At 39.5% G+C, this 27,533-nt stretch overlaps 3 annotated features.

Moving 5' to 3' along the window:
- Window positions 8,977-9,661: an enhancer, noted in NCBI's record as "OCT4-NANOG hESC enhancer chr4:85299952-85300636 (GRCh37/hg19 assembly coordinates)". NCBI's record gives its function as "activates a minimal SCP1, AML or CMV promoter by ChIP-STARR-seq in naive H9 embryonic stem cells {active_cell/tissue: H9 hESC(naive)}" and the evidence as "EXISTENCE:reporter gene assay evidence [ECO:0000049][PMID:30033119]".
- Window positions 9,234-9,528: a silencer, noted in NCBI's record as "tiled region #8005; HepG2 Repressive non-DNase unmatched - State 24:Quies, and K562 Repressive non-DNase unmatched - State 24:Quies". NCBI's record gives its function as "represses a minimal TATA promoter and a strong SV40 promoter by Sharpr-MPRA in HepG2 and K562 cells {active_cell/tissue: HepG2 | K562}" and the evidence as "EXISTENCE:reporter gene assay evidence [ECO:0000049][PMID:27701403]".
- Window positions 15,133-15,846: an enhancer, noted in NCBI's record as "OCT4-NANOG hESC enhancer chr4:85306108-85306821 (GRCh37/hg19 assembly coordinates)". NCBI's record gives its function as "activates a minimal SCP1, AML or CMV promoter by ChIP-STARR-seq in primed H9 embryonic stem cells {active_cell/tissue: H9 hESC(primed)}" and the evidence as "EXISTENCE:reporter gene assay evidence [ECO:0000049][PMID:30033119]".

Consider the following 27,533-nt stretch of genomic DNA (forward strand, 5'->3'; position numbering starts at 1 on the left):
TGTTTAAATATTTCTATTTTTGGTAGCGTCCTTAGTGATTGATAATTTTCTGTTTAAAAGATCAGTTGCTTTGCTAGTATGTTTAGAGATGAATAAAACTTTATATTCTTATTTGTAACCCAGTGTTTTAAAACTTAAGGTTAAAGGGTATACTTTCAAGGTTCAATTCTTCCAGCTGAATAAACTCGTCCTTTTCACTGAGACTCTGAGGAAGTTTAAATCTAAGCAACTGAAAAAGAATAGAAGGCAAACTGTTGAAATGAAGAAAATCTAGAAGACAAGACTCTGAGATATTTTCTTTTTTAAAACATAATTTTGACTTTTAGATTCGGGGGGGTACAAGTGCAGGTTTATTACATGAGTATATTGTGTGATGCTGAGGTTTGGGGTATATAGATGATCCTGTCACCCAAGTAATAAGCATAATACCCAACAGGTAGTTTTTCGACCGTTACTGGTCTCCCACCCTCCACCCTCTACTAGAACCCAGTGTCTATTGTTTTTAACTTTATATCCATGAGTACCCAATGTTTATCTCCCACTTAAAAGTGAGAATATGCAGTATTTGATTTTCTGAGTTAGTTCACTTAGGATAATGGCTTCCAGCTGCATCCATGTTGCTGCAAAGGGCATGATTTCATTCTTTTTTATGGCTGCATAGTATGCCATGGTGTACAGGTGCCACATTTTCTTTATCCAGTCCACCACTGAGGGGCACCTAAGTTTTTTCTGTGTTTTTGCTGTTGTGAATAGCACTGAAATGAACACACACGTGCATATACAATGTGAGATGTCTGAATTATTGGGCTAAAGTGGCGTTAAAAATCATTTCCCATGTCATGAAGGAGGAAATATTAAAAAGAGTGGTCATTAGCTGTCTAACTTTGGTGATTTCTATAAGTCAAAAGGAGATCAGAGCATCCTAAAATGTTAGATGGGACTTAATCATTTAGTTCTTGGCAGATAAGGAACTAGTCCAGATACAAAAAATAACATGCCCAAATAGTTTGCTAGCAACAATATAAGCAGGTACCCCAGTAAGAACTACTATGAATCTACTGGATGCACTTCTCATGTTGTCACAAGCTACAATCTACTAAACTAAGTATTACTTATTAAGCATAGTCTATAATGGCAAGGAATACATTCTTTTTTCAGATCTGCTTTTCTATCTTTTGCTAAATTAATCTTTTTTTAAGGTTAACCTCAACATTGTGCATTATTGAAACTAGGAATACACATGAATATGTGTATGTATATAAACACAAATATGTCTACATTGGTATAGGAAATGTCTGCACTTCCTGCTTCCACTTTTCTACTTTTCTCATTTTTTTCAATAATCCTCTGAGTTTTGCTTCCACCTCTACCATTCTGCATTCTCTGAGGTCATTACTAGTGTCCTAGGTAACAAATCTCTAGGCTTTTCTCCATCTACATTCCTTCCAGCTCTTCTCATTCATCACTGTTGATCGTTTCTTCCTTTTTGAAATGCCTAGTTCCTGGTCATGATACTAAACCCTCTAGGATTTTTTCTGCTTTATCTCTAGTCTTTCTCACTCTCCACAACTGCTTTTCTTCCTCCATTCTTTAAATGTTAGTGTTCCATCCTTAGTCCATCCCAGATTCATCTTCCACAACAGCATCTTCACCTCTTAACAGCAGCGCCTTCAAACATACAATCAGCATGTAGTGCCTTTCTTTCTTCCTTCACTAAAACTCTACTTTTCTCCTCAAGACTCAGCTAAAACACTATGAAAGTGTCTCTTTTATTGATATTACAAACCCTGCTTTGTACTCCGAGAGCATGAATTCTTGTTATGTGCTAATGAAACACAGAGAAGGCTGTCTACAGTAGTGGATGAGTGAGAGATCAGGAGTCAGACTGCCGGCTTTTAAATCTTGCTCTTCCGTGATTGTGTCTCAGCTTCCTCATCTGTGAAATAGGGATAACAGCAGTATTGATCTCCTATATTTAGTGGGGATTAAATGAATTAATATATGTAAGAAATATAGAACAGTGCCTGAGACATACTTAATTCTCAATAAATGTTAACAAGAGTTATCGTAGCATGTTACCATAATAAGTTAAAATTATTTATGTGTCTAACTTTGTTACTAACATATGATAACTTTGAGGACAGAAGCAAGTCCCAGTCAACATTCTATATCCAACTGTTACCACAGAGCAAATAATAGGTGCGTAAACTGTTTGTTGATTGAGTATAGTACTTAGGTGAGAATAAATGGAGAATGAAATAAAAGTGATATTGATCTGGGAGTATACTACAGTTCCCCTATCCAGGCAGAAAGTATATAATGCTTCTACAATAAGGATTGCAAAGCTACCAAAAAGGAAAAATGAAAACGTTGTAAGAGACTTCAACTACCTGAAGAGCTGCCAGAGAATACAAATGCTGAGAGCAGGGCATCAGAGAGGAACTGCCTTACCTGAAACACAGAGGAGAAAGAAAGAAATGAGAACTACAAATGTAATTTAGACCAACAAGAAAGAACCATTTGGAAATATAAAATAGCTGGAATTTGAGATGAATTAAAATTGGCAAAGATATATTTTGCAGCTATCACAAACTCCCAAATATTGTATTTTCCGCTCTTTTGTCACCTATATCTTTCTACTTTTCTTTGTAATTAAATTACCTTCTAATTTTTTTACTTTTACTTTCTACTTTTCTTTTTAATTAATTATAATTTGTAACTAATAAATGAAACTTCTTTTGGATTGTTACTATTCAAAGGGAAATATCATATCTTCCACATCTTCGCTTCTCTCACAGCCTGTAAGCCAGTACCTTTCACCCAGGAATCAGTAAATTTTTACTGACTGACTAAATCAGAGGAAACGATGGGGAAATATACATGGAAAAGAAGGGGGCATATGAGTGTCAATTTGCTGGTGAAATCTGAAGAATCTGATGATTTTTTAGATATGCTATGGTAAGGAGGAGAAAATAATTTTAAAAGACCAAGAATTCTGGTCTTGGTGATTAAGAGAATCGGGCACTTTTTATAGGAATCAGATGTCATTTCAAGGCATTGGTTTCAGAAGCAAGGAGATAAATGTGGCTCACCCTTGCCGATTGTGGGTGTTTGGTGAAATATACAACAGGAAAAATCCAGGCCGTGGCTGACTGGATGATTCTAAAGCCCAGAGAAAGACTGCAACTAGATCTTCTAGAAAAAGCAACTAGAGATGAAGGAAGAGTTGGTATTGTGAGTATTACAGAGGGAGTCAGGGAGAGAAAGAAGTATCTTGAAGTACAAGGTCAACCATGTCAAAGGCACCAGCCTCAGAGGAAGCTGAGAAAAGATGAAAAAAAGCCATTCACTCTTGTAGAGAGAAAGTTCAGGAGCTTCATAGAAGCATTGTAGCCACTAAGAAAGGCTAAGGCACTCAGAAGCCTTAAGAAGATAAAGACAGTGGGTTTGGACCACTTTAAAAAATAGGAACCAAAGAGAAAGGACCTAACACCTGTTCGTGGTATGAATGGATGAAAAAGGGAAGCGATCAAATGAATGGCTCCACTCAGGTGTGGATTAGAGCCACAAGACAGAAAAGACTCAGATGAACTACCAAATATTTGACCTAGGAGGGACTTTCTAGACAGCATCAAGTTCAACTCTCCAACATTAGGTAGGAGGAAACCCTGAATAGTTAAGTAGCTAGTTCAAAGTCATCCAGCAAGTTAGTGTCAGGATCAAGATTCAAATGAAGGTCTCCAATCTCCTAGTTGGGTGATCTTTCCACTATATTGCCTTTGCAACATGAACAGGATGGCTTGAAAATAAGAAACAGAAATAAAAGAAACACCTTGTAATTTCTCTTGTTCCTTCCAGTTACTTCTTTTTAGCCAATCTATAATCCCTCGTGCAGATACAATGCTCTTCCTTTCCCAACTGGTCTGTAATGAACTATTACTTTTCATGGGAAAAGTGAATTTCCAATGTTTCCCAGGTTCTTGAATGTAGATCTGACATTTTTCCCTAGCAAATTGACATAAACCTTTTCATGAATACACAAGGCCCCAAGGGGCCAAATTTACACGTAAAGAGAAAAGTTAGCAGTAACAGCATTGGTGGAGAAACAGATTTTCCTTTTAATTGCTCACAGGCAGAATGTGCACAGCTAAAATGGCCTAAAAGGAAAAATGAAGTGATCATCTGACAAACCCAGGCAGTGTAAATACCCAATCCAGCAATTCAGGCCTTGGGGCAAGAAAACCATTTTCCCTGTGCCTGCCAAGCTCTCTTCTCATGTTTGAAAATTGTTCCTGGACCTAGCCTGAGGGATTCAAGTATCTCAGACAGTGGCATCACCAAGTTGGCATGGAATTAAGTGAGGCATCTGTCCAATAGCATGTTGGGCTCCATTCTCCCCCCGCCTTAGTCGCCCATGGTACTAAAAGGGTATTTAGGAAGAAATGCTCCCTCTGTGCAGGCACTATGGTATGATTCAGTACACCACATTAGTACTGCAGTGTCTGGAGTCTAGTTAAGGTAGATTCAGTGGCAAAGGGTCTAGATGTTATGGTGATAGGTGATTTAGCAAGGCATGGTTAGCTACAATGCTATATTTATTACTTCATGTGTTGGCTTTGGTTACTGACTAGCTCCAACCAGCTCTGTGGCAGAAGACATTTCTTATCAGTAAGTCGTTTTACACTTTCCTTGGTTTGCCTCTTCTAAGAATCTGAGTTCATACTTTTAAATTAAAATGAAAGAATGATTTTCAGTTTTTCCTCCATATTAAAAAAGGACCTGGAGTATCAGGCATTGTGGTCTCTTTTCTCCCTGTCTAAGCCACTGGGTAGATAACTGACAACTTAACTTCTTCAGGCCAGGAGGAAACTTGAAAATTCAGAATCACCCATTTAAAATACTTACCTTCTTGAGTTTCTTTGGCCTTCCTCCACCCAGCTACACCTGCTTCAGCTGGGAGCATGGAAATTCTGTCAGAGATACACTCATTCGATCTACTCCTGCAGAAATGAGGTCTAATGGGGCTGATAATACCTACCCAACAGCAAGAGCAGATTATACCCAAGTATTCATTCTTGTCCTCCTTTTTACCCTGCCCATCTAACGCTGCAAAAAAAAAGAATAATAACAATATTAGAGACAATCTGGGAACTTCTGCCTCTTTGCAAGGCTGACTCAAACCATGTTGGAATAATAATGTATTCAGCAGCCACCTAGTCAGCAATGCAAAATGGTCCCTGGGTTCAAGGCTATGATACATTAGAATATAATTTGGCTGGAGTTTCTCTCTCTATTATGGAGAACAAATGCATTTTTGAATGACTTGAAGAACAGGTCATGCTATTACTTATGATGGGTAAACTCAAAAAGGGTCATAGGAGAAACATAGTTCAGATAAGCCCCTGGAAACTATAGATGCTCTTTCAAATCTAATCTCATTTTTTAGGTCTGTCTCTTCACTTTCAGGGCAGGAAACTTGGCTGCCGCTAGGGATCTATTTTCAACTTGTTGTGAGATTTCAGACAACTGCTGAATCTCTTGTGCCCCTAGTTACTCCATCTATGGCATATGGCAAATGCTACCTACCTCAGGCTATAGGGTACAGTGAAAATTGTTGTGATGGTGGTTGTTTATTTCTCAAAAGACCAGGATCTGGCCAATTTCCAGGAGCTTTGAGCTAGATGGGCAACAATGGGTTTTCTTCCTAAGCACCAGTGTTAGAAAGATTCCTGTGTGCTTAAACTGTTGTCATCTTTTCAGTTCCTCTCCTGTCTGTTTTATATACAGGCTCTTGTCAACAAGAGAACCAATTTAGGTTCTTCACTGAGGATCTCAAGTTCCCACTTCTCACAACCAATTAAGCAGTATATTTAGAGAGAGGGCAAATATGACTTAGATATTCTTAACCAAATCCTACAAAGGAAATTGCTTAGCACACATTCTATTTGCCGTCTACCCTTTCCTAATTAAACTGGGTAAGAGGATTGGAAAAATTGTATAATTACATGAAAAATCAATGTCACCTATTTTGACAGGCTTTGAGTACATTGTGAAAAATCATGACTGAAAGTCAACTTTTTGTGTGTGTTCACATGTTTTTGTACATGTGCTATAGGCTGAGACAGCTTCCAAGTCCAGGTCATGGCAATCCTTGCTGGCGTTTATTGGTAGAGACCTGGCAATACTATATAAGGGCCACGCTCAGCCCTCTCCATGAACAGCCTCATAGTCCTCAGAGCAAGTCTTGGCTGTACACCCTTCGGCCTGCACCAAGTTTCTTTTACTTGAGAAGTAGTCACAGTCCATCTGCTGTGCAAATACACAAATACAAAACCGTCACCCGTTTCATTAGGAATTAGTCCCCACCAGGATACAGCAGCCCTTTCACCTCTGAGATGAGGAATGAATGTTGTAATTGTAGATGAAGGCCCTGAATGAGGCCTTTCCTGGGCAACAAATGGAGTCTGCTCTGGCTCCAGGAAGCCACTGGGCCAATAGGTGCCTCAGCAAGTTCTGTACCAAATGCCAACATGACAAATGCCAATTCTTAGCCTACTGTCTGTTATACTTTCAGCTACCTGTCTTTCACAGCATTGAGTACTCACATTTGGGAATGAGAACTAAAGATGTCAGTGGATGTCAGATCACTAATCACTTCCAAATACTCAGCACATCTGTACCAGTCCACAGCAACGAAATTGTCCCTCTGCATATTCCTCATGGCTAATGTTTTCACATTTAGTTTGTAAACTACAAACTTCCTAAACCTGACTTCATAGAATTTTGCATTGTTCCTAATTTTTTAATAATGATCAAGTATTACTTCTATAACTAGGGGGAAAAAATAGAATGTTCTGACATTTGACATGACTTTCCTCCAGGCTTGGGCATGACAGAAGGGATTAAAGAACAAAATTTAAAACCTGAGTCTCACATATATACATAGATATCTCTAAAGAAGTCTAAAATATCTTGCAACGGTGATTGACTCTGGGAAGACAATTGGAGAAAGAGATGTCTTTAAAATATCCACCATGGATGGTAGAGGAAGACGAGGAGGAAAAGGAGTCAGGTACTGTCATTTTCAGAGAGATACCCATTGTGCTTTACATGGAAAACAAAGGCACACCTCTAATCCCAGACATAGGCAAAACTTCCCTATTTGCATTTTTTAAAAATCAATTTCCACTGTGGAAAAGTGGGAAAGCTACATTCTAACAGCCTAGAATGCAGATTTTTAAATGTATCATCCACCTAGTTTATTTTCTCCTTCTCTGACATGGTCTTTAACCATGTCTCTGTTGGACACATCCATAGAAAAGACAGAAGGTCACACACTTAACATTGTTTATTATCTAAATGGGATTTGTTCTTTCACCCCTGTCACTTCTCATTTAAGTATGTATTCTCTTTCATAACTTTCTCGATCCTTCTCAGGGTTTTCACTCATGTAATGTATCTGTGTTTCCTTTCTTCTCTAATAACATTTATTGAATACTTACTATGTTCTCTCTTTTTTTCATTTATTGTTTATTAGATGCCAGGCAGTAAACCCTTCATGTGCAGTATTTTATGTAATCTTCAGAACAATCTTATAAAGTGCCGTTATTATCTTCATTTTGCAAATAAGAAAGCCAAATATTAAACAGGTAAAGTAACTTGCCCAACATCACACAGCTGACCCAGATCTAACCACGAAGAACCCCAAGATTCAGGATGTAAAAGTGATATTCTTACCTCACTCCTTAATTTTTTTGTTCCCTTGCATTTTTTCTTCAAATTCCTGTTTACTATCTAATGCCCTCATATTATTTACCTCTTTTACTTTTCATCAGTTTTCCATTGTTTTCCCCTGTCCTTGTGGTGCCATCTTTAGTTTTCTTTGCTCAGGTTCAAGGTACAAGTAGATAATTAATTTTAGGGGCTTCTTTCCTGCTACTCAGAGCCATACTGAATAACCATGGGCTATGTAATTGGAAGAGAGGTGATTTCCTACTGATTTCCAATTGTATGTGCTTGAAAATGGTGCTTATCCCAAAGACCAGGAAACTGTTATCCAGTATCTTCATAAGGTAGTGGGAAGACAGAAAATGTATTAAACTACATATTAACGTCTAGCTGGTGTTAGTGAACTAGTAGAATACATACTTTTTTCCACAAAATGTAACTTTTATACTTGAGGGACATGCAAACAAGATTCTTTTGTGAACAAATGCTTTTATTTTTAGCTCCAAAATATCAACTTTGCAAAAATGTTAAGCATGAAACAGCATTCCATTATTGAGTTGCTTTTGTTGTACTTACATCACTATATTTTTGAGAGAGTTGGTACTGTTATCAACATCATCATCATTAAATAACAGATGAAGGAGAAGGAGAACTTGAAGGAAGGAAATCAAGGTTCCAAAATTCAAACCTATATGTAAGCCTTGCCCCAACCCTTACACCTCACGAAGTAAGAAAGAAAACAGATAGCCCCAGAACAAAAGAAAAGCATACATAGCTAGAATTCATATTCAAAAGGCTAAAGGGAGGAAAAATATTTCTGTATCTAGATAAATATGCATGTGGACACACACACACACACACACACACACATACACACACATACACACACGCATACCTCCTTTGCGTCAGAAGCCTTGCCCAGCAGAGCCTATGGCAGTGACTTAATGGCATGACATCACTGCATCTCAGATAATATGTGGTAATGAATTCATTGCATAGGATCTATGACCAGAAATTCATCCCCGGCCCTTCCCCTGCCCACCCTGTTCGCAACAGCAAGCCAAGTTTGTGTAGCTCTGTGCCCCTCAGCCTGTGTGCTTAATGCATGCATTAAACAGGGAGACTGGCGATGGTTTCCTATGTTTCTCATTATTTAAAAGAACAAGTTAATCTTCCCTTTGGGGGGCAGCAGGGGAACTGAAAACCACACGATCCTCTTAAATAGTTCTATGCCCGGCCCTCCCTTGTTGACAGGTCTGCTTTCATAATTTTATTGTCATGGCTTTGGAGCAAATTTTAGAGAGGTAGAGTTAGTTGATGGAAGGGTTGGAAATGAGAAGGAAGATGAGGCTGGGAAAATCCTAGGGGGGTGAGGGAAAGAAATCAAGCCATCTGATGGATGGCAAGTCTTTTATCAGATATATCTCCTTTCCTTTTCGAGTGCCTATCATATCACACAAACTGCTCCTGAAGAGCCCTCCATTTACCCTTTCCCCTAATTAAATGTGCACTTCATTAATGTAAATTGGGGGTTTAATGCTCTTGTTGAAATTCTGAAGAAAGTGCTATGGCCTTGCGAAATGCTTAAGCATCATTGCAAATTAGATTAGGGACCAAGAAAGGCAGTAAAATTAGAATGATAATGGCTGATGTGGCTTCCTGACAGGCATGACTATTCAGGGATCAATGGAATGGAGAACAGTTTCCCGAGCCCAAAGTGAAAGGCAGGGACAAACGTCAGCCTACAGATGTGGCTTTTGGAAGCACTTTCAATTAGTTTAATTTGGTAAATGGTGGGGATTTAGAGGCTCTCAGCCAGTCATACAAGACAAGAATACATTGAAATGTTTTTCACTTTTTAACATAAAATAGGATTGGCTTTAGATTTGCATTTCTCGAACAAGAAGATGGAGTGGGGTGGGAGGGGATGGGGGTGCAGGGAAAGTTTCCAAAGTGTTTTACCAACTCTGCTTTTGAAAATGGAAATGACTTTTATAAGCTTGGACTGAAACCTTCCAAAGAGTGGGAAAGGAAAGAGTAAATGTACTCCTTCTGGTTCTCAGGGAGGCCTTAAATCCTGAACACCTCAAGAGCCCAATGTGTGCTAAAACATGTTGTCAAGACTGGGGAGTGGGGGTGAAGGGGCAGAGGGGAGGGTGGGGGGAGAGGGAGGAGCAGGCAGTGAAATACACTCAAACTTATCCATCATTTCTTATGATAAACTTGTTTTTCATGGTTAAAAAAATAAATGTTATTTCTCAGCTAGAGCAAAAAATTTAATTACAATTTTAAATGTGTCACATAAAAGAAATATTCATAACCTGATCACACTAATATTCACCCAAGCACACATGCTCGCGGTTCTACTTACGAGGCATCAGCACACGCCCATCAGCAGACACTCAGTGGACGCTCATTTGGCCGTTACTTCAGAGCAGGGCTCTCATGTGGTTGGTGCTAAGTATGCCTTTTCCTTTTTGCTCCCTCCTGCAAACTCCACCCCACCCCCAGACCCCTGGTGTCTTCACTGGAAAATAAATTGGCACTAATCTGGTGACTGGGGACATTTACAGGCAGGACAGCTTCTGTGCACAAAGGCCTCCTTCAGATTTGTGCATTTTGACTACAGGTCCCTCCTTGTGTTCCCAGAATGCTGTCAAGCTCGACTGGGACCTCCTCCCTGAAGGCGTCTGCATTTTTCATGAGTGAAGAGGAAAGAGATGATGCGTCAGAAATTGCGGTAAATATTACCAAATCCCCAGTGGCTCCCAAAGCCCTTTCAACCTCATGAACCAGCGTGGTGATTCACCCTCTAAATCCTTTTACCAATTCACCAAAAGTGTGCTAATAGGCTCACCTCTCACTCTTGTTAAGTTAATATCGCAAGTCAGCAACAAAGCATGGAAATGCACAAAACTCATACTGAAAGGAGAGAGACACGTGTCCAGAAGGGAGAAGAATGATCTCAGGCAATGAAAACAAACCAGGGCAAAGGTAAGCTCAGAACATAGTATGCCGTGTTAATCATTCGGTGGCTAGGAATTCTCAGTTTCATCATGAGGATGGTAACAGGTCATTGGTGTTACCAGCAATTCCACCACTGATGGGCTTCCTAAGGCCTCTTCATAAAGGCGGCTTGTCTCCCACAAAACACCCGGATGAGAAGTAGAAAAAAAATCCGAGTAAATTATTCCAATTAAGTTAACAATCATAATATCTAATATTTGTGTATTACTTTGATGGCTTCTAAAAACATGTACAAATCCAATAACTCATTTCATCTGTAGCAAAATCTTCAGAGATAGAAAAGAAATGAATACTTATTTTATAGATGAGGGAAATGAGGTACAGAGGTGTCCAGTTACTTCCCCAAAGACACAAAGTTAACAAGTGGTAGTGGAGGAAATAAGACAAGAGTTCTTCTTTTACTAGCAGCTAGTGTTGTTGCAAAACTGATAGATGATTATTGTGAAAAAATTTCAAGTAACACAGCAATGTACAAAGAAGAAAGTAAAGTGCATAACAATAATTAGTGGAAATATTTTGCGAACTTTCCTTCATATATCTTTCTGTGCATGTAGATAAGATTAATAATAAGAGGGAACACATACTGAGTTCTTAACCATGTACGAGCTATCTTGTATACTGTGCATTTACTCCTCAGAACAACCCTCTGAGGTAGATGTAGCTTACACATGAGGAAAGTGAGGCGTGAAGAGGGTAATTATTAATAATTTGTCCAAATTCACATAACTATGCATATACCTTACAAAAATATGATCATAGTGCTCTTATTAGTAGGTAAGATGCTTTTTCACACAGCAATATATCACAAATATCTTTTCATGTATCTTCCTCATCAGGTTTAGTGCTTTTAATTTTTTTTCCTAAACAATGCTATGATGAAAATTCTGAGCAAACTTTCTTTCACATTTAGCTGGTGATCTCCTCAGGGCTAATCCTAGACAGGAGATACAGAGCAAAACTCTCTAGGCACTCAGAGAATTGCCTGTAGCTGTAGCCCACGTCCCCCAGTGGTAATAACACGAAAGCACTATGAGATGAGACAGAACTAGTCCTTTCCTTCCTTCCCATCACTCCACAAGCATTTGATTGGATACTATGAAAAAAAAAGCCCAATAAGATAGATTCTGGGTCCTCAAGAAGCACACAGACATGCGAGAGAGACAGAAAAGTAAAGAATCAATTATTATACAAAACAGTGTGATTTGTGCTAGGATAGGAAGATTCACATATTTCTTACATTGACAACTAAACTCTGTACTCAGCCCAGACCAGTGAGCTCAGGGAAGGCTCTCCCAGCAGAGAAGATACCTGGAGGAATCCTAAAGGAGGAACTAGGGTTGTTCAGGCAAGGGAGGATGGGTGGATGCTGGATGTTGCAATCTTCAGTTCTCATCAGGAGCCCTCCTTGTGTAGCTGCTTTCTCTAGAGCCTCCTATACCTCTTCTCCTTCTTGCCCCTTCAAGCCAAAGAGTGGGTGATAGTGGTTTCCTATTTACTAACTTTAAGATACTAGAATCTCCCCATTTTATTTTTGAAAATGCTGTGTAGCCATTTGTAAATAGCCCATTATTAAACTCTCTTCAGATTACCTAGCTTGAGTGTGAGACCTGTTTCCTGCCAGGACCTTGACTGACTCAACACATATACAGAAGAGATTGAGCAGAGTTCTACAGATCTCACAGCCCTCCCTGCCTTACCCCTATCCCAAAGCCCACTGAGAAGCAGAAATAAGGCTCCTAGCTCCAGAAGAAATGCGTAGCACTTGAGATTGGCCCCATTCCCTTGTTGGCACAATGATCTCCACGGGACATCTCTTTTCTGGCGCCAGTTAGAAATGTTCAATTCCATTTCACTTTAATTTGCAATAAATGTGCCTAATTTTATTTTTAATTTCCTAAATAGATTGATTTGGCAAAGCCACTTCACCAGCTCAAAGGTTAAATTCCTAATTGAAAATGCTAATATCGAATTCATTTTCTCAAATGCTGATTCTCTGATTTTGTGAAACGACTCTTTTTCAGATAAGAATCAGAGAACTATGGGGATGGGAGATTTGGTAGACATCAACCCAATAGGTACAACAAGGTTAAAGGTCTTGCCCAACAAGACACAGCTTGCTAATAACATCTTTTCACTCCACTAGAACCTGCAGTTCCTGAATGGAGGCAGCCGTTGTTTGCCCTGGAAAAGTATTGTCTGCCACAGAATGATGGGAAGAATAGAGAATGATTCTTCCCAGTTTGTGAGACTTTCCCTCCTTTAGCATTTAAATACTTTTAGATATGGTCTCAGTTTTACTTTCTACATCCTGGAAGACTATTTCAAAAATAAATAAACTAAAAAGAGTAACACAAGAAACCAATAATAGTAGTTGTTTCCTGGAGGAAAAATGAGAGACAGGGAGAAGGGGTGGGAAGAAGAATTACTTTTTGTGAGTTAATTTGTAACTTATGACATTTATAACATTTGAAGGTATTACCTATTTTAAAAATAAATTAGCTTATTTGGAAGGCAGGAAGAAAAAGTATTATTTGAATTCTGTTTAACAAAGAGATATTGCTTGCGTTCCACACAATCTAGAACTTTCTAGGCACTGGAGGGCATATAAAGGCACAGTTCCAGACTTCAAAGGATTTGTTGTCTTCTAAAGGAGACAAAAATGAACAGAATCAATGATAATCCATCAAGGAATGTGTGAAGCCACAGAATAAAGGGTAATCACAGAAAAGAGATGGAAAGATAGTCATTTCAACTGGTTGCACATTCACAGATGGTTAGAATTGGGGAAGGATGAGCCAAGTGGAAGGAATTGTGTCAGCAAAAGCTTGATGGGGAAAATTAAGGAGGATGTGAACAGCATGTTTCTGCTCACACTACAGCAAGTGGGGATAAGCAATAACCCTATGTCCCTTCCTACGTCTAGCTGTAAGGATACCCTCCATTTTTCATAAAAGTCCTATTTGTAATAAGTATGTCTTACGTAAGTATTACATTTTAGTTTTTTTAAATTTTATTTTATTTTAAGTTCCAGGATACATGTGCAGGTTTGCTACATAGGTAAACATGCACCATGGTGGTTTGCTGCACCTATCAACCCATCACCAAGGTATTAAGCCCTGCATACATTAGCTATTTATCCTGATGCTCTCCCTCCCCCAGGGCCCCCTACCCCTACAGGCCCCAGTGTGTGTTGTTGCCCTCCCTGTGTTCATGTATTCTCATTGTTCAGCCCCCACTTATAAATGAGAACATGCAGTGTTTCGTTTTCTGTTCCTGCATTAGTTTGCTAGGGGTAAAAGGTCTTTTTAAAGAAACTCCTTAAACTTCACAGTAACATATCTCTACTACATAGTTGAAGAAACCAGCTGAGAGAGGGCAGCAGAGTTGGATGGGATTTTAAAGGTAACCGGTCATTTTACTAATAAGGAAATGGAGGCCAATGGAGACGATGTGACATTTAGTTAGGAACAGACCCAGAAACTTCTGAGATGTGTTTGCCTCACAGATAGAAGGAACAAAACCAAATGTGCCCTCTACTAAGTGTTGATCCCGTTGGAATGGAATAATTTAGAGGGCACAAAAAATTGGCATTTGGCTTGTATTAACTCATTTTCTGCCTAATGCAGAAATTAAATCTGTACAATTCAATTGTCCCTATGCTAGCCACCACCAGAAAACGTGTTAGGAAAAACAGATGCTTTTATGACTACCATTAGCACGACCAAGTTGATTTTTTGTCCTACATCTACTGTTATTCACTCAGAAACTCCATGCCTCTAGTGTGACTGTGTCCGTAAGTACAGATGTAGACTGGAAAGGAGAAGGGCATTCTCACAAGCAGGAAGTCAGAGGTTTGCCTCGTTACTGTACTGTCTACCACTGATCCAGAGGATACTGTGACTGAAGGGCTATGAAATATTTGGAGGTATTGTTTTTAAAAGAGAAAAATTAAATACATATTAGAAGATAATTGATTATATAAGGCTGTCCAGGTCCAGGGCAGGCTTGGCTGCCATATATAGCAAGCAGCATGTAAAACTTATAAGAAAAAAGCCACATGGACATTTAGTCTTGAGTTTCCTGTATTATACGTGATCTCATCTTTTACCCCTCATTAAATGTGTGCCCACCTCCCCTCTGCTAGCTCTTCATACACATACTATCTGCCTCTCTTGCCTTTTTGAGATGCTCCCCCGTGTCCCAGCTGGACCTGAATGATTAGGTGTGGCCCTATAGCTCACTCTCACTTATTCAGCTGTTAAAGCAGCTTAAACCCTCATAAGAACATTAACATTTGGGTGCCAATAACAGATTGACCTTTATTCATAAAGTGCAAATAGTTGGAAGTTGAACAGATTGGTTGCCAGCGATTGCCTTTTATGTGCAGTTTAAGGCTTTGATTTCTCTCCCCTTTCTTCCTTTAATCTGACATCACTGGGTTGAATAGGGTTTGCACTCTAAGTAAACAAGGCCAGGGGAGGCCTTTGCTTTTGTAGCACAGTTTGCTTGGAAAGAGAAGGAGACAGGAGGGTGACATTAAAAGATTTGCCTTTGGAATTAAACAATTTAAGAATGGATTGGAAACCCCAAAACTGAGTGGAGCTGTTGGTAGGCTCTGAACTGAACTCACACAAGAGCCTTTTGCATATGGGACTATTTATCCACAATCATTCATGTAGATGGTGAATGAGAATGTAAGGATTTATATTAACTCTCTTGAAAGTTTACTCTATGTCATACACAAAAGGGAAACTCAGAAACCCACAGAGCCTATGGATTTGAAATGAGACCACAGTGCACTGCTTTGTTACCCTCTTCTAGCCAGCTGTGAGCATTTTGATGCTTAAGATTGCAGAGGGTGGCTGAAGCCCTTTAAACAACTAGTGTTTCTTTAAAGCATTCCAAGGGAATACCTCTTAAGCATAAGCTTTTAAAGATACTCTCCAACACAGCGTTCGGTTCTGAGGGGTTTTTCCCTGATTTATCTTGACAGTACTTTACTTTCAATAGCACAGTCTACACTTTGTAGTGAATGGGGAATCTTTACAGCATTTTCATAGGTAGCATGAGCACATGCAAGTCTTCCTCGCAATTAATTGTGCCCATTTAGAAATAATAAAGTGAGTCAACAGAACACAGGAAATGGAAGATATGAAGCTCTCATTAATAGGGCTTGGCCATAAGTAAACGGCAATTTTATGTGAATACTCGTTCTGCCAGAGCTTTTGATTATGTTTTTAAAAAATCTTAAATGCCTGTATTTTAGGACTATAGGGATATTTCTTTTTGATTCAGATAATTTAGCATTGCATTGTCTATTAACAACTTTGGCTTTAGAATTAGGCAGACCCAGATTTGTGTCCCAGCCCTTATTAGAAGCTTGTTAACTGTGTAACTTGGACATAGAACTAGTCTTAAAGCCCCATTTTCTCTGCAATCTGTGAGTCACTGTAGTGCCAATCTCAGAGGGATGAGCATCTCTATGAAGCTCTTAACGCAGCCCCTAGCCCTTAGTAAGTACTCCATAAAAGTTATTGTTTTTTATCAAAATTCAGTTTTATATCACATTACTGTCCTAGGTCTGTATGGAGAATATGACAAAAACAATAGAAAGTGCTTAGCAATGGACCCATCTCACAACTAACTTCGATAAATAGAAACTGCTATTATTATTGTCATTTTAGTCTATACTGTCTTGTAACAGATTGTTTCACTATCTCAAACTACAGTATGGCTGTCTTGTGGCAGAAAACAGGGCTTTCATTTTTCTGTGTGTGCCCCCGATGCCTGAGCACAATATTAATGTAGAGTGGACACTTAATAAATTACTTATTAGTAAACTCTTCTTCTCCTTGATTGGGAACTACTTTCTCCAAAGTCAAAAACAGAAACATCATCTTTCACTCCTTCTCTTTCAGTCCCTCCATCTAATCTAATACTGAGGTCAATCATTTCTGGCTTAAAAAATTAGCTCTCCTGTTTTCCATTCATGTTGTCACTAAGCTAATCCAGGTTTGCAAGAGCCTTCTAAAGGAGAACCCACAAGACAGGTACTGTGTCCTCACCACCACTCTCCACTGCTTTCAGTCATTCTGCAAACTGACACCAGGCAAATATTCTCCAAGATTCTTTTATGTCCCTACCCAGCTCCAAGATTCTTTTATGTTCCTACCCAGCTCTTCATGCTGCACCTCCCCTCTCTTCCAGACTTTCCTTAATAGTGGCATGGGAAGTGCATGGATGAGAAGAATTTAAGCAAGAAATAAGAATATCATCCACAGTGCTTTGATTTGGTGGCTTATCCTGAACTCATAATATTATAAGGAGGACAAGGCCTCACCACATTTGATAACTAGGTAACTGTCTTGCCAGCACGGGTCTGTCTTCAAACCATAAAAGGGATCATCTTAGAGACCATGGATGGATCAGAGATACGACTGAGGGAAAGGCAAAAACCCTTCAAACCTTGCTATCACCTTGTAAGTAGAAAAAGAGTGTCTTTTCTCCAAAATTTCAGACTGCCAATGTCAAACTTTACACAATAATAGTAACTTTAGAACTTTGTTTTGGAATCTCAAAACCAAAGGCAGAAAACAAAGGAAAAATTAAAAATTACACACAAGTGTACAAACATGCATAAACACAGTCACACAGATGGGTAAAAAGAGAAAACGAGGAAGAGCAAATTGAGACGTTAAATTTCAGATTCTCCGGACCTGTCCCTACTCTTCCAAGTCCTTGGAATTATTCCAAGAAAGACACAAGAGCCAGGGGCAAGAACACCAGTCTTTTCTCCGGGTCTCATGCCCTCCCTCCCCAAGTTCAATACTCACCCAAGGCAGGGCAAAGTGTTTATTCTCAGTGGCAGTCCCTTTCTATGTCATTGTTTTTTCTCACAGCTTTTCCTCCCCTCCTCAGAGACTGAAATGCTAGCTAGGTCTCAAGCCAAGACATTTTCATGAGGGAAAGATTTCAAAAAGATTATGGATGGGATTTTAAATGTCTACTGAAATACACACAGAAAAGTCTTCATTGTAAAGGAGAAAATGCTTTTAAAAGTATATTTAAATAAATCCTCAATAACAGAGACTTGGCAGACCCAGGGCTGCTCCCCGGCCATCCCTGGGAAAGTGGGCTTTTTATGGATTCTGATCTAAGTGTGAGGGCTGACAGGAGGTCCTAATCTATAGTATTGTTCCGTGCTTGTGAGAGTCTCACTAATTAGTAGCTGATGAGCTACAAAAGGAGTAAATTTTGTTTCAATTTAATGATGACCTTCATCTTAATTCCATTTCCTCTGTGAAAACCTGGAAATTATATGACAATCCCCAAACAGAAGAGTTTTTAAATACTCCTCTAGTCAGGCAAATTGTGTTAATTTCTTGCCCCCTTACTAAATGCAGAGCTACGGTAAACATAATGTACTTCTGGAAAAAGAACTGACAGAAGAAAATTTAGGTTTTTGGATCATTGGGGAAATTTTGGCTGGAGATAGGAAAAATGAGAGGTTTTGGTTTGCATTTATGACAAAAAACAAATCACATAAAAACTCTGAGGATGACAAAAATAAACTGTTATGTCATCCAAACTAAAAGAATTTAATGCTCCTAGGAGACCTTAAGTAACCTAGAGACCAATGCCCGTCAGAGTATATGCTTAGTAAATTTTGGTTGAAAGAATCAGTGAGTGAATGAATGAATTCTCTTGAGAGTATCTTGCGTTCAGTAAATGCTGGTGTTTTCAGCTGTAACTTTTGTAAATTCAATAAAGCAGCAGATTCAGTACACTGCTGCTGCTAAAAAATGTAGAACAACTAGTTGTGAAAGCAGCCCTTGACCGCCCAGCAGGAAATAAGCTCTCAGCTGCACTCAGTGAATAAGTGAGGAGATCCAAGGGCAAGTCGAATCGGCACCTGTCTGCTTCTCCACCACTATGGCCTCTCAGATGGCAGACCCCAGTATCAGGGCTTCTCCAGCAACAGGCTACAGGGTGGGGGAGGGGGCGACCCACGGATGGTTCTGGAAACAGTGTGAGCAGGGGACAATCCCATCCAGCTTTTTTGACACAGCCATTTTAATAAAGGAAAGGGAGCAGTGGTATTTTCTTTTCATTTTTCCTCCTTTTAATACCAAATAATCTTTGTTAAAGACACTATTCAGCATCACATCATTCTTGACCCTCTCTTCAGACATGGCGTGAGATCTGGGGATGTGTTCTGACTCAAACATTATTACAAGTTTTTCAGAACTGAAAGTTAAATGACTTGAGGGCCAAGTCAAAGCATGCTGTTTTCCACAATGACCCCTCTACGATCCTTGTCCACACACAGGTGCACACCTACAAGACTACTTATGGAATGACTGAATGAGTGTTTGCTATAATGAATGGTAATCAGGGTTGGAGTGCACATAATGACTATACTTAGTATCCATGTAAGCCAATATTTCTAGAGTCAGATGGTGGGTCATGGGAGAAGGCAGCTGAGTAGAACAAGACATGATTTGATTCCTAAATTTTTTTTTGTTTTTTGTTTTTTTGAGATGGAGCTCCACTCTTGTTGCCCAGGCTGGAGTGCAGTGGCGCAATCTCAGCTCACTGCAACCTTTGTCTCCCAGGTTCTCCTGCCTCAGCCTCCCGAGTAGCTAGGACTATAAGTGTGTGCCACTATGCCCAGCTATTTTTTTTTTTTTTTGTATTTTTAGTAGAGATGGGACTTCACCATGTTGGCCAGGCTGGTCTTGAACTCCTGACCTCAGGTGATCCACAGTTTCGGCCTCCCAAAGTGCTGGAATTACAAGCGTGAGCCACTGCACCTGGCCTGATTCCTAAATTCTCTTGAAGATTTTAGATCTAAATCTCAGAGGCACCAGCCTGCCCAACTCTCCAGCTGAGAGAATCAAAGGTGCTCACAACCCAGATGGGTTAAACATTCAGGCTACCTTAGGGCTGTGCTGTCCCCTCTTCACCGTAGGAGACAGGAACAGATCGGGGTGGCCATGGTTACACTGAAGCAGAACCAACTCAACATCATCCCCCTCTGGGGACTGGAAGCCACAACTCTTATTTCCTCTCATTCCAATGCCATTTCTCATCTCTCTTAATAATGGATCCAGAATTATTCCAAGGTATTTCAGGGCAGATGACTCTTCTGCCCAATTTCAGTTCTACAAACCCTAAATGATTCTACTCATGTTCCCATTTTCTCTCTCAGGATCTGCTTTGCACACAAAAAGAAATAAGAACAAAGGGCCTCATCGTGTGATTTAAGAAAAAGAGTCTTTTCCTACTGCCTGGCTCAGTTCAGAAGTAAGAGACTCATTTGCATTAACAAGTAAGCATCACTGGGAAGAGTGAGAGAAGTCTATCAATCATTCACACTCTAGTGCAAATTACTAAAATCCAATTGCTTTCCTCTCTTATATCTATCTGAAACTTCTGGGGGAGGTTTCTCATGGATGAGCTCCGGGTGCACACCTGTGTAGCTATTCTCACTAAGCAGCATCTGTGTATAGAGATTATGTATGTGGTGCAGAGCCCATACAAAATAAGTTTGGCAGAAACTCTGCTAAAACTAGAGGAAACTAGAATTAATAACATAAGCACATAAAATGTTCTTACAGCTTCTTCTCTTGCATCACTTTATTTAATATTCACATAACTCTGTGAGGTTGTATTATCACCATCCCATTTTATAGGTGAGAGAAAGAAATTAAACATCTTGCCTAAGAAGAAGGAGATCTTAACTCTGAAACCAGAGAGAAAGATCCCAAACCTGGGTGTCGTTTTACTATGGGAAGGGTATTTCTTTTGCAGTGTTTTAAGGCATCTGCTACCACCACATTACAAAATTTAGAAAATAACAGAGGTATCGGCAATGGCAGGAGTCCAAACATGAGAAATAAAACTAGAAGAGAAGAGTGGTTTCAAATGTTGGCACATCCTCTTACCTTCCTTTTTGTACTTTCCTTTAAGTCTTCCATGGTAAATGCAATCTGGCTTCGTGCCTCTTCCTTCATCTAGGTCATTTTAACAGCTCCTTTACTTTAGTCCAGGGTGAAATTCTGTCTCAAAGCTGTCTGAGATTAGCCTAAGTGGGGCAACTTGCCCTGATTGGATAAAGCTTTTAAACGGTCATGAATTAGCTGAGCATGGTGGCTCACGCCTATAGTCCTAGCTACTTGGGAGGCTGAGGCAGGAGGATCACTTGAATCCAGAAGTTTGAGACCAGCCTGGACAACATTGTGGGAGGCATTGTGAGATTCCCCCATCTCAGAAGACAAACAAACAAACAAAAACCTCATGAACTAGTAGGCAGCAGACTGAAGGATAAAGCAGTGCCGGGTAGCTGACAGCAGGGGAGTGCACAGCTGCAGGGTGTCCAGCTCTATTCTGTGCCCCTCTTCATGAGACAGGGCCCACCTCGAGCATTCCTCAGGGGGTTAGGGAGGGGCAGGAACTCACATCAAGTACCCTGAAAGGTAGTCATAGAGCTAACAATAGTTAAGGCCTCACGAATTCCTCCACAGCTCTATGAGGTAGTGCATTCACCAATATTCCCATTTTCAGGTGTGAAAAATGAGACATTAAGAGGGTAAGTAATTTTGCTAAGGTCACTCAGCTGCTAAATGACAGAGCAGGCATTTTCACCTAAGCAGCCTGATCCGAGAGCCTGAGTCCTTAACAGAAAACTATAACACATATGGTTTTCACAGAAAACTGCACCCACCTCTGCAATGTGCTCAAGGTGGACCCTGTCTCAGGAAGAGTGGAACAGAATAGAACCAGACAATCTTCAGGTGTGCACTCCCCCATGCTTCGCTACCTGGCACTGCAGCCTACTGGTTCATGAGATTACACCGGGATGTGTTTATCCCAGGTAATCTAAGACATGGAGGTATATGGCAGCCTCGTATCACACAGATGGGGAAGTGGATGCAGAACTAGGGCCAAAGGGAAGAAGTTACAAGCAGATTTCAAGAGAATATGACTTTCAACTTTCTAAACACAGATATGTCTGCATTGGTTGGATGCTTTTAGTTTCAGCAACAAAAAAACAATCGAAAATGTCTTAATCAAAAAGGGAAAAAACTTTCCATATAACTGGAAATTGTGAGACATGGCAAGATCCAGGTATTAAGATGTTGTCATCAGCAATCTGTCCTTTTTTCTTCATCTCTTGACTCAGCTTTCCTACCTGTTCTATTGCTTTCAGGCAGAGTCTCCACTGTTGAGCAGAAATGACACCAGCAGTTCTAGGCTTATCTCATCCTCACAGTTGCCAATCCCTCTGGAAACCCACAGAAATTAGCAGTTAGTTCTGCCTATGGACGTGGGGTGGGGAAATCTGGGTGGACTTTACAGAGGTGGTGGCATGTACTTGGATCTTAATGATATGTAGGAGTTTCCCAGGCAAAGGAAGATGGAAAAGAATGGGCTTTCCTATATTTGAGGGACAGTTCAAACATCCTGGAGATGCTTGATGATGAGAGATGAGAACAGCTGCCCAATTCACTGAAAGCCGTTTTACCAAATGATCAATATGCAAAGTAACCAATTTGCTTAAAAAAATCAATTTGTCAAATGTTCAATTCATAATTATCAAGTTTACTGATCAAAAAATAATCTTTTTTGACTATTTAAAGTTTACAGCAATCTGTGCTGGATCTGTGGCCTTGGTTGACCAAATTTGATTCTGTCTCTAGAACAGCATTTTAAGGGATATTCAGTTTATTAAGACCTAATATTATAGGGGGATTTAGTCTGCTTAGGTCTATATTTAATATTTTTTGAAGTATTATTTTAATCAATGACCAAATGTCAATGTTTCATGTGCGAGTTTTTCAGTTTCTACTGATATCTTTCGACCTTTTCTCATGCTCCTGAACATTTCAGCATGTCTTGCCAAATCTTATTAAAGACCTTTCTCTCTGAAGAAAGTTTTTACTTTTCAGCTTAGACCTCATAGTTCTAACACTTTAGACCTTGCCATTTAATGTGATAGCCAATATCCAAATTTAAATTAGCTGAAATTAAATACAATCAAATAGAATTAAAATTTTATTTCCTCAGTGGCACTAGCCACATTTTGAGAGATCCCAGCCACAGGTTGACAGTCAGTGGCTACCATAATAGACAGCACACAGAGAACATTCTCATCATCACAGAAAGTTTTATTGGGTAGCATTGTTTTAAATCAGCCTGGTGAGTCCTGATTCCACCGTTTCCCTAGGATTTTGTCTTTGATTCCCTCAGCTCCAAGCCCCACAGCCGCTACGGGGCCAGACTCCATTCCTGCCTCTTGTCTCAACTCCCCAGCGTCCTACTTGCCTCAGGGAATTTAGAAAGCAAGCTCATGGTTGATCATCATTTCATTTTTGTCCATTTTCTAGTCTAGCCTAGGAATAGGATGAGTTGTTCAAATATTTTAAGGGTCCCTGTGCAAAATTTCCTAGGGAATGGTCTACCTTAATTAAATACAAATAAATGCTGCTCTATTCTGCAATGCTTTTGTTCCTGAAACTCCACTGCCTCCAGAGAGGAGGAGGGAGGGTGGGAAGAAGAGAAGGAGGGAGGAAGGGAGGAAGGGAGGGAGGTGTTGGGGGGGACAGAGAGAGAGAGAAAGAGAGAGAGAGAAAGATCCTCTTGTCAGCAAACTCCTTACTAAAAATATTAATTCCACTAAAAGCATCGAAAAGACCTTTTTTTCCTTAGAAAGAAAAAAAAATACAGCTGCATAGCAAAATGGAAGGCTTGAATGAACATTTCAAGTCCTACCTGTCACAAGCCATTAGTCGAATTGCCTAAAGAAATCCCTTGACAAGTATAAGTGCTGTTTTTATGTTAGAGCGCTTCATAATGTTGCCCACAAGAAGAAATTTCTCCACAAAAGCTTCTTCTGTTTAATAAAGTGATTTGTTCCAGTAACAGTGATAATAAAATTGCTGAATTGAAATAGGATTGTTCAATGAAGACCTGAATCCAATTTGCTGGACTAGTATGATTACACTTTTATCTCTGTGTTTACTCATTTGTAGAATTGCTACCAGTCTTTTGATACGCAATTAATAGGATTAATGGTTTTCAGGACCAGAAGGCAGTAACAGGGAAGAGAACCCATTTTTATGTGGCACAGTATCTGTGTGTTGACCTATTAAGGCCTGTGCACCTTGTCAGCTGTGCTACAGAACGATAGGTTGATTGCCTTTCCTTATCCTTTGAAATGGGATGGCTTTTTCCAATGAAAATTATTTTGAATAATTATGTCTAGGTTAATTTAGGTGCCTCCTCTCTGTGAGCTCCTCAGGCAGCTGACGGTGGAGCCTCATGGACCAGGAAAAAGAAGTAAAGACAACTACAATTCTCTAAAATTTAATTTTTGGAGTGATCTGTCTTCTCTATCTGGTCTCATACAAATAATTCTTATTATCATTATTAATGGCTTTAATAGCAGAATGAAACATTTTGACAAACCATTTCATTCATTACCTGGAAATCTTTGGAGGCTTAGGTGTACTCATATTTATTTTTGTGATAGCTTATATATGCTTATACTTTCTCTAATCAACATTGCCTTTGGGATAGTGCCATCTTAAACCCTCAAAAGGGATTAGTATTAATCATATGGTATACAAAGTAGGATTTATCAAATAAATATGGCTTTTTCTGTGTGGAGGTGTTTGTTTTGTTTTGTCTGTTGGGTTTTAAGGGTTTTTTGGTAACAGATTAAGAAACTAGTAAAAACATAACTAGTAATGACATAAGCCAGCGTCCTTATAGGCTACCAGAGTGTTTTAAGACTAGCCCTTGATTATGTTTAGCAGACACTGGTATCTTTGCTTGGGTTCCGAGAAAAAAGGGCATAAGGCAAATCTCAATGTTAATGCTTTATTGAGGGAATCCCAGGGAAGCAAGCATAGGAGGTGAATCTAGGCAGGGAAAGAGGGAAAGCAGACACAAGGTCATATGTTCCCAAGTTGACACCGCATCCCTGGTAGCTTAGTCATGCTGGATATTTCCAGTGAGGCTAAAGAAAACCACTGCATCTTAGAATAGCCTGTCAGAGAGAAGAAGGGCAAGCAAGTGTCCACTGGCTCCTTTCTGTCTCTGTCTTTTATTGGTCAGAGTTCCTCGTTGGGGTGTTAGCTCCCCTATGTTTGCCAGTCATGTGTTCTAGGCCCCCCAGGGCAGGCACTGGGGAAGCCAGAGCCCCACACACATCAGGTTGGGTCAGAAATGGGCACCTTCACTGCTGCATTTCCCCACAGGTTCAGTGAACACTATGCCGCAGCCTGGCCCTCATCCACAGGGGAGGCTAGAACAGCCACAGGCATTAGAAAATGAGGCTGGGGCAATGAGGGCTTTACAATCACAGGAACAGTGTGAGCTTTCCCTGGAGTGGATCTGTCGGGGAAGCAGGGAAATGACCAGGGACTGAGGGAAGGAGACAGGCAGATGGGGCAAGGCAGATCTGGAGTGATGTATAAAATGGGTCCAATACAACTGGCAAGCTGAATCTATTCTGACGAGCTCTGTCCACAAATAAAGAAGAATATTTTCCCCAGGATTTAGTCATATGCAAAAATTATCAAAGTATTTGTTGAATCTTCCAAAATGGCATCTCCTAAACAACTCTCTGCATTAAGTGAAGAATTTATGTAATTGTAGCTGGGGTTTGCCTGCTATTATTTCAAATATGTGATCCATGTGATCAAGACCCCCTCACAAGAAAAAACAGAGATAACTGAGTTATTCACCCATGACCACAAGGCTTGAATGTGGTAGAAACTATTGGTAGAAATTATTGGTTGAATGAATGACAGTGAATAGTCAGCCAATTAGCCCAAGGCATCGACTCCATCAGCCACACCCTCATCCCAGCTCTGCCTGGTTTTACTGAATATGATGAAGACATTATGGAGGTAACTTCATCCTAAAAAGAATATTCGCAGTCTAACAGTGGCATTTCTAGTCTCACGCTGTAGTGCAGATAGAGTCCGATATTTCCAGTGGGGCTCGGATTACCTCCCTAGTCCCTTGGCAAAGTTGCTTCTTTAATTGCCACATCTTGAATAGTAATTGTGGCATCAGAATATTAGTAGGGAAACATTGTTTATATATAGGCTAAGTAGTCTTTACCTGAAGTGCTGGGACCAGAAGTGTCCCAGATTTTGAACTTTTTTGGATGTTGGAATATCTGTATATACATAATGAGACATCTTAGGGAAGGGACCCAAGTCTAAACACAAAATTCATTTTTGTCTCATTATATACCTAATACACACAGCCAGAAGGCAATTTTATACAGTATTTTTAATAATTGTAAATAATTGTATGCATGAAGCAAAGGTTTGGCTTTATTTTGACTGTGACCTGTCATAAGTGGTCAGGTATAGAATTTTCTACTTATGGCTCATATTGGCATTCAAAAAGTTTCGGATTTTGAGCATTTCAGATTTCAGATTTTTGGATTAGGGATGCTCAACCTGCATTATACACCTTTCTATAGAGTCCCTATAGTCCCACGTAATTGATTTTCATCAACCAATGAACAATTTCAAAACTTTTTTTCGGGATATTTTCTCAGTATCTTTTCTGGTTTGTGAAGTCTTTTACTACAGCTCAGCATAGGAAATATAGCATAAATATTGATCATAGTTTCCCATTTAAAGTGATAGTATCTGACAATATTAATTATATGGGCACTTTTTTATTTTTTTTTTACCATTTCCTGTTTATTTTTTTTTTTAAACAGACTAAAAGTTGGCATAGTTACCTGGCAAAGGATAATTAATTCCAATACTTAATTAGAGATGAGGCATTCCAGTAGGTAACCTCTTCCTCACATTCCCTGGTATGTTTCTCTGTTTTTCTTTTTTTTCTTTCTTTTTTTTATTATTATTATACTTTAAGTTCTAGGGTACATGGTGCACAACATGCAGGTTTGTTACATAGGTATACATGTGCCATGTTGGTTTGCTGAACCCATCAACTCGTCATTTACATTAGGTATTTCTCCTAATGCTATCTCTCCCCCAGACCCTCACCCGCCAGCAGGCCCCAGTGTGTGATGTTCCCCACTCTGTGTCCATGTGTTCTCATTGTTCAACTCCCACCTACGAGTGAGAACATGTGGTGTTTGGTTTTCTGTCCTTGTGATAGTTTGCTTAGAATGATGGTTTCCAGCTTCATCCATGTCCCTGCAAAGGACATGAACTCATCTTTTTTATGGCTGCGTAGTATTCTGTGGTGTAGAGGTATGGGCACCATTTTTAATATGCCAGCAGTCCTCACTTTGTATGGTAGTTTGAGACCATGAAAAAAGATCTTACAAGCTGAAATCATGCAAAGCAATCTTAATAATGAAGAAGAAAAAATATGATGGTCCCATGACACATAAAAATTTCTGTCAAAATGTTAAAAACTCCCTTACTCTAAGTCATAAATGCATAATAAAGTGAAAAATAGTAAAACTAATATTTACCTAGTATACCATAATTAAAAACATTAGAAATATTTATGTTTTATTCCTTTGTCAAAACTCATTATGATATAACAGTACTTGCCTTCTTCTCACATACACATAAGCATCTTTTCTATGTCTTGATAAATTACCCCTCCTAAGGATAGAGCAGCTTCCAACCTTTGTAAATGATAGCTTCCTATCTCTTGTGATGCCAATGTTGTGAAGTATCTCTGAAAGTTATTTTAATGTAAAATTTTTTGCTAATGTCACTTTGTGGGGAGATGTTTATCCTTTTCATCACAACCACTTCCCTCAT

This window comes from Homo sapiens, chromosome 4 (genome assembly GCF_000001405.40).
Source record: "Homo sapiens chromosome 4, GRCh38.p14 Primary Assembly".
Lineage (NCBI taxonomy): Eukaryota > Metazoa > Chordata > Mammalia > Primates > Hominidae > Homo > Homo sapiens.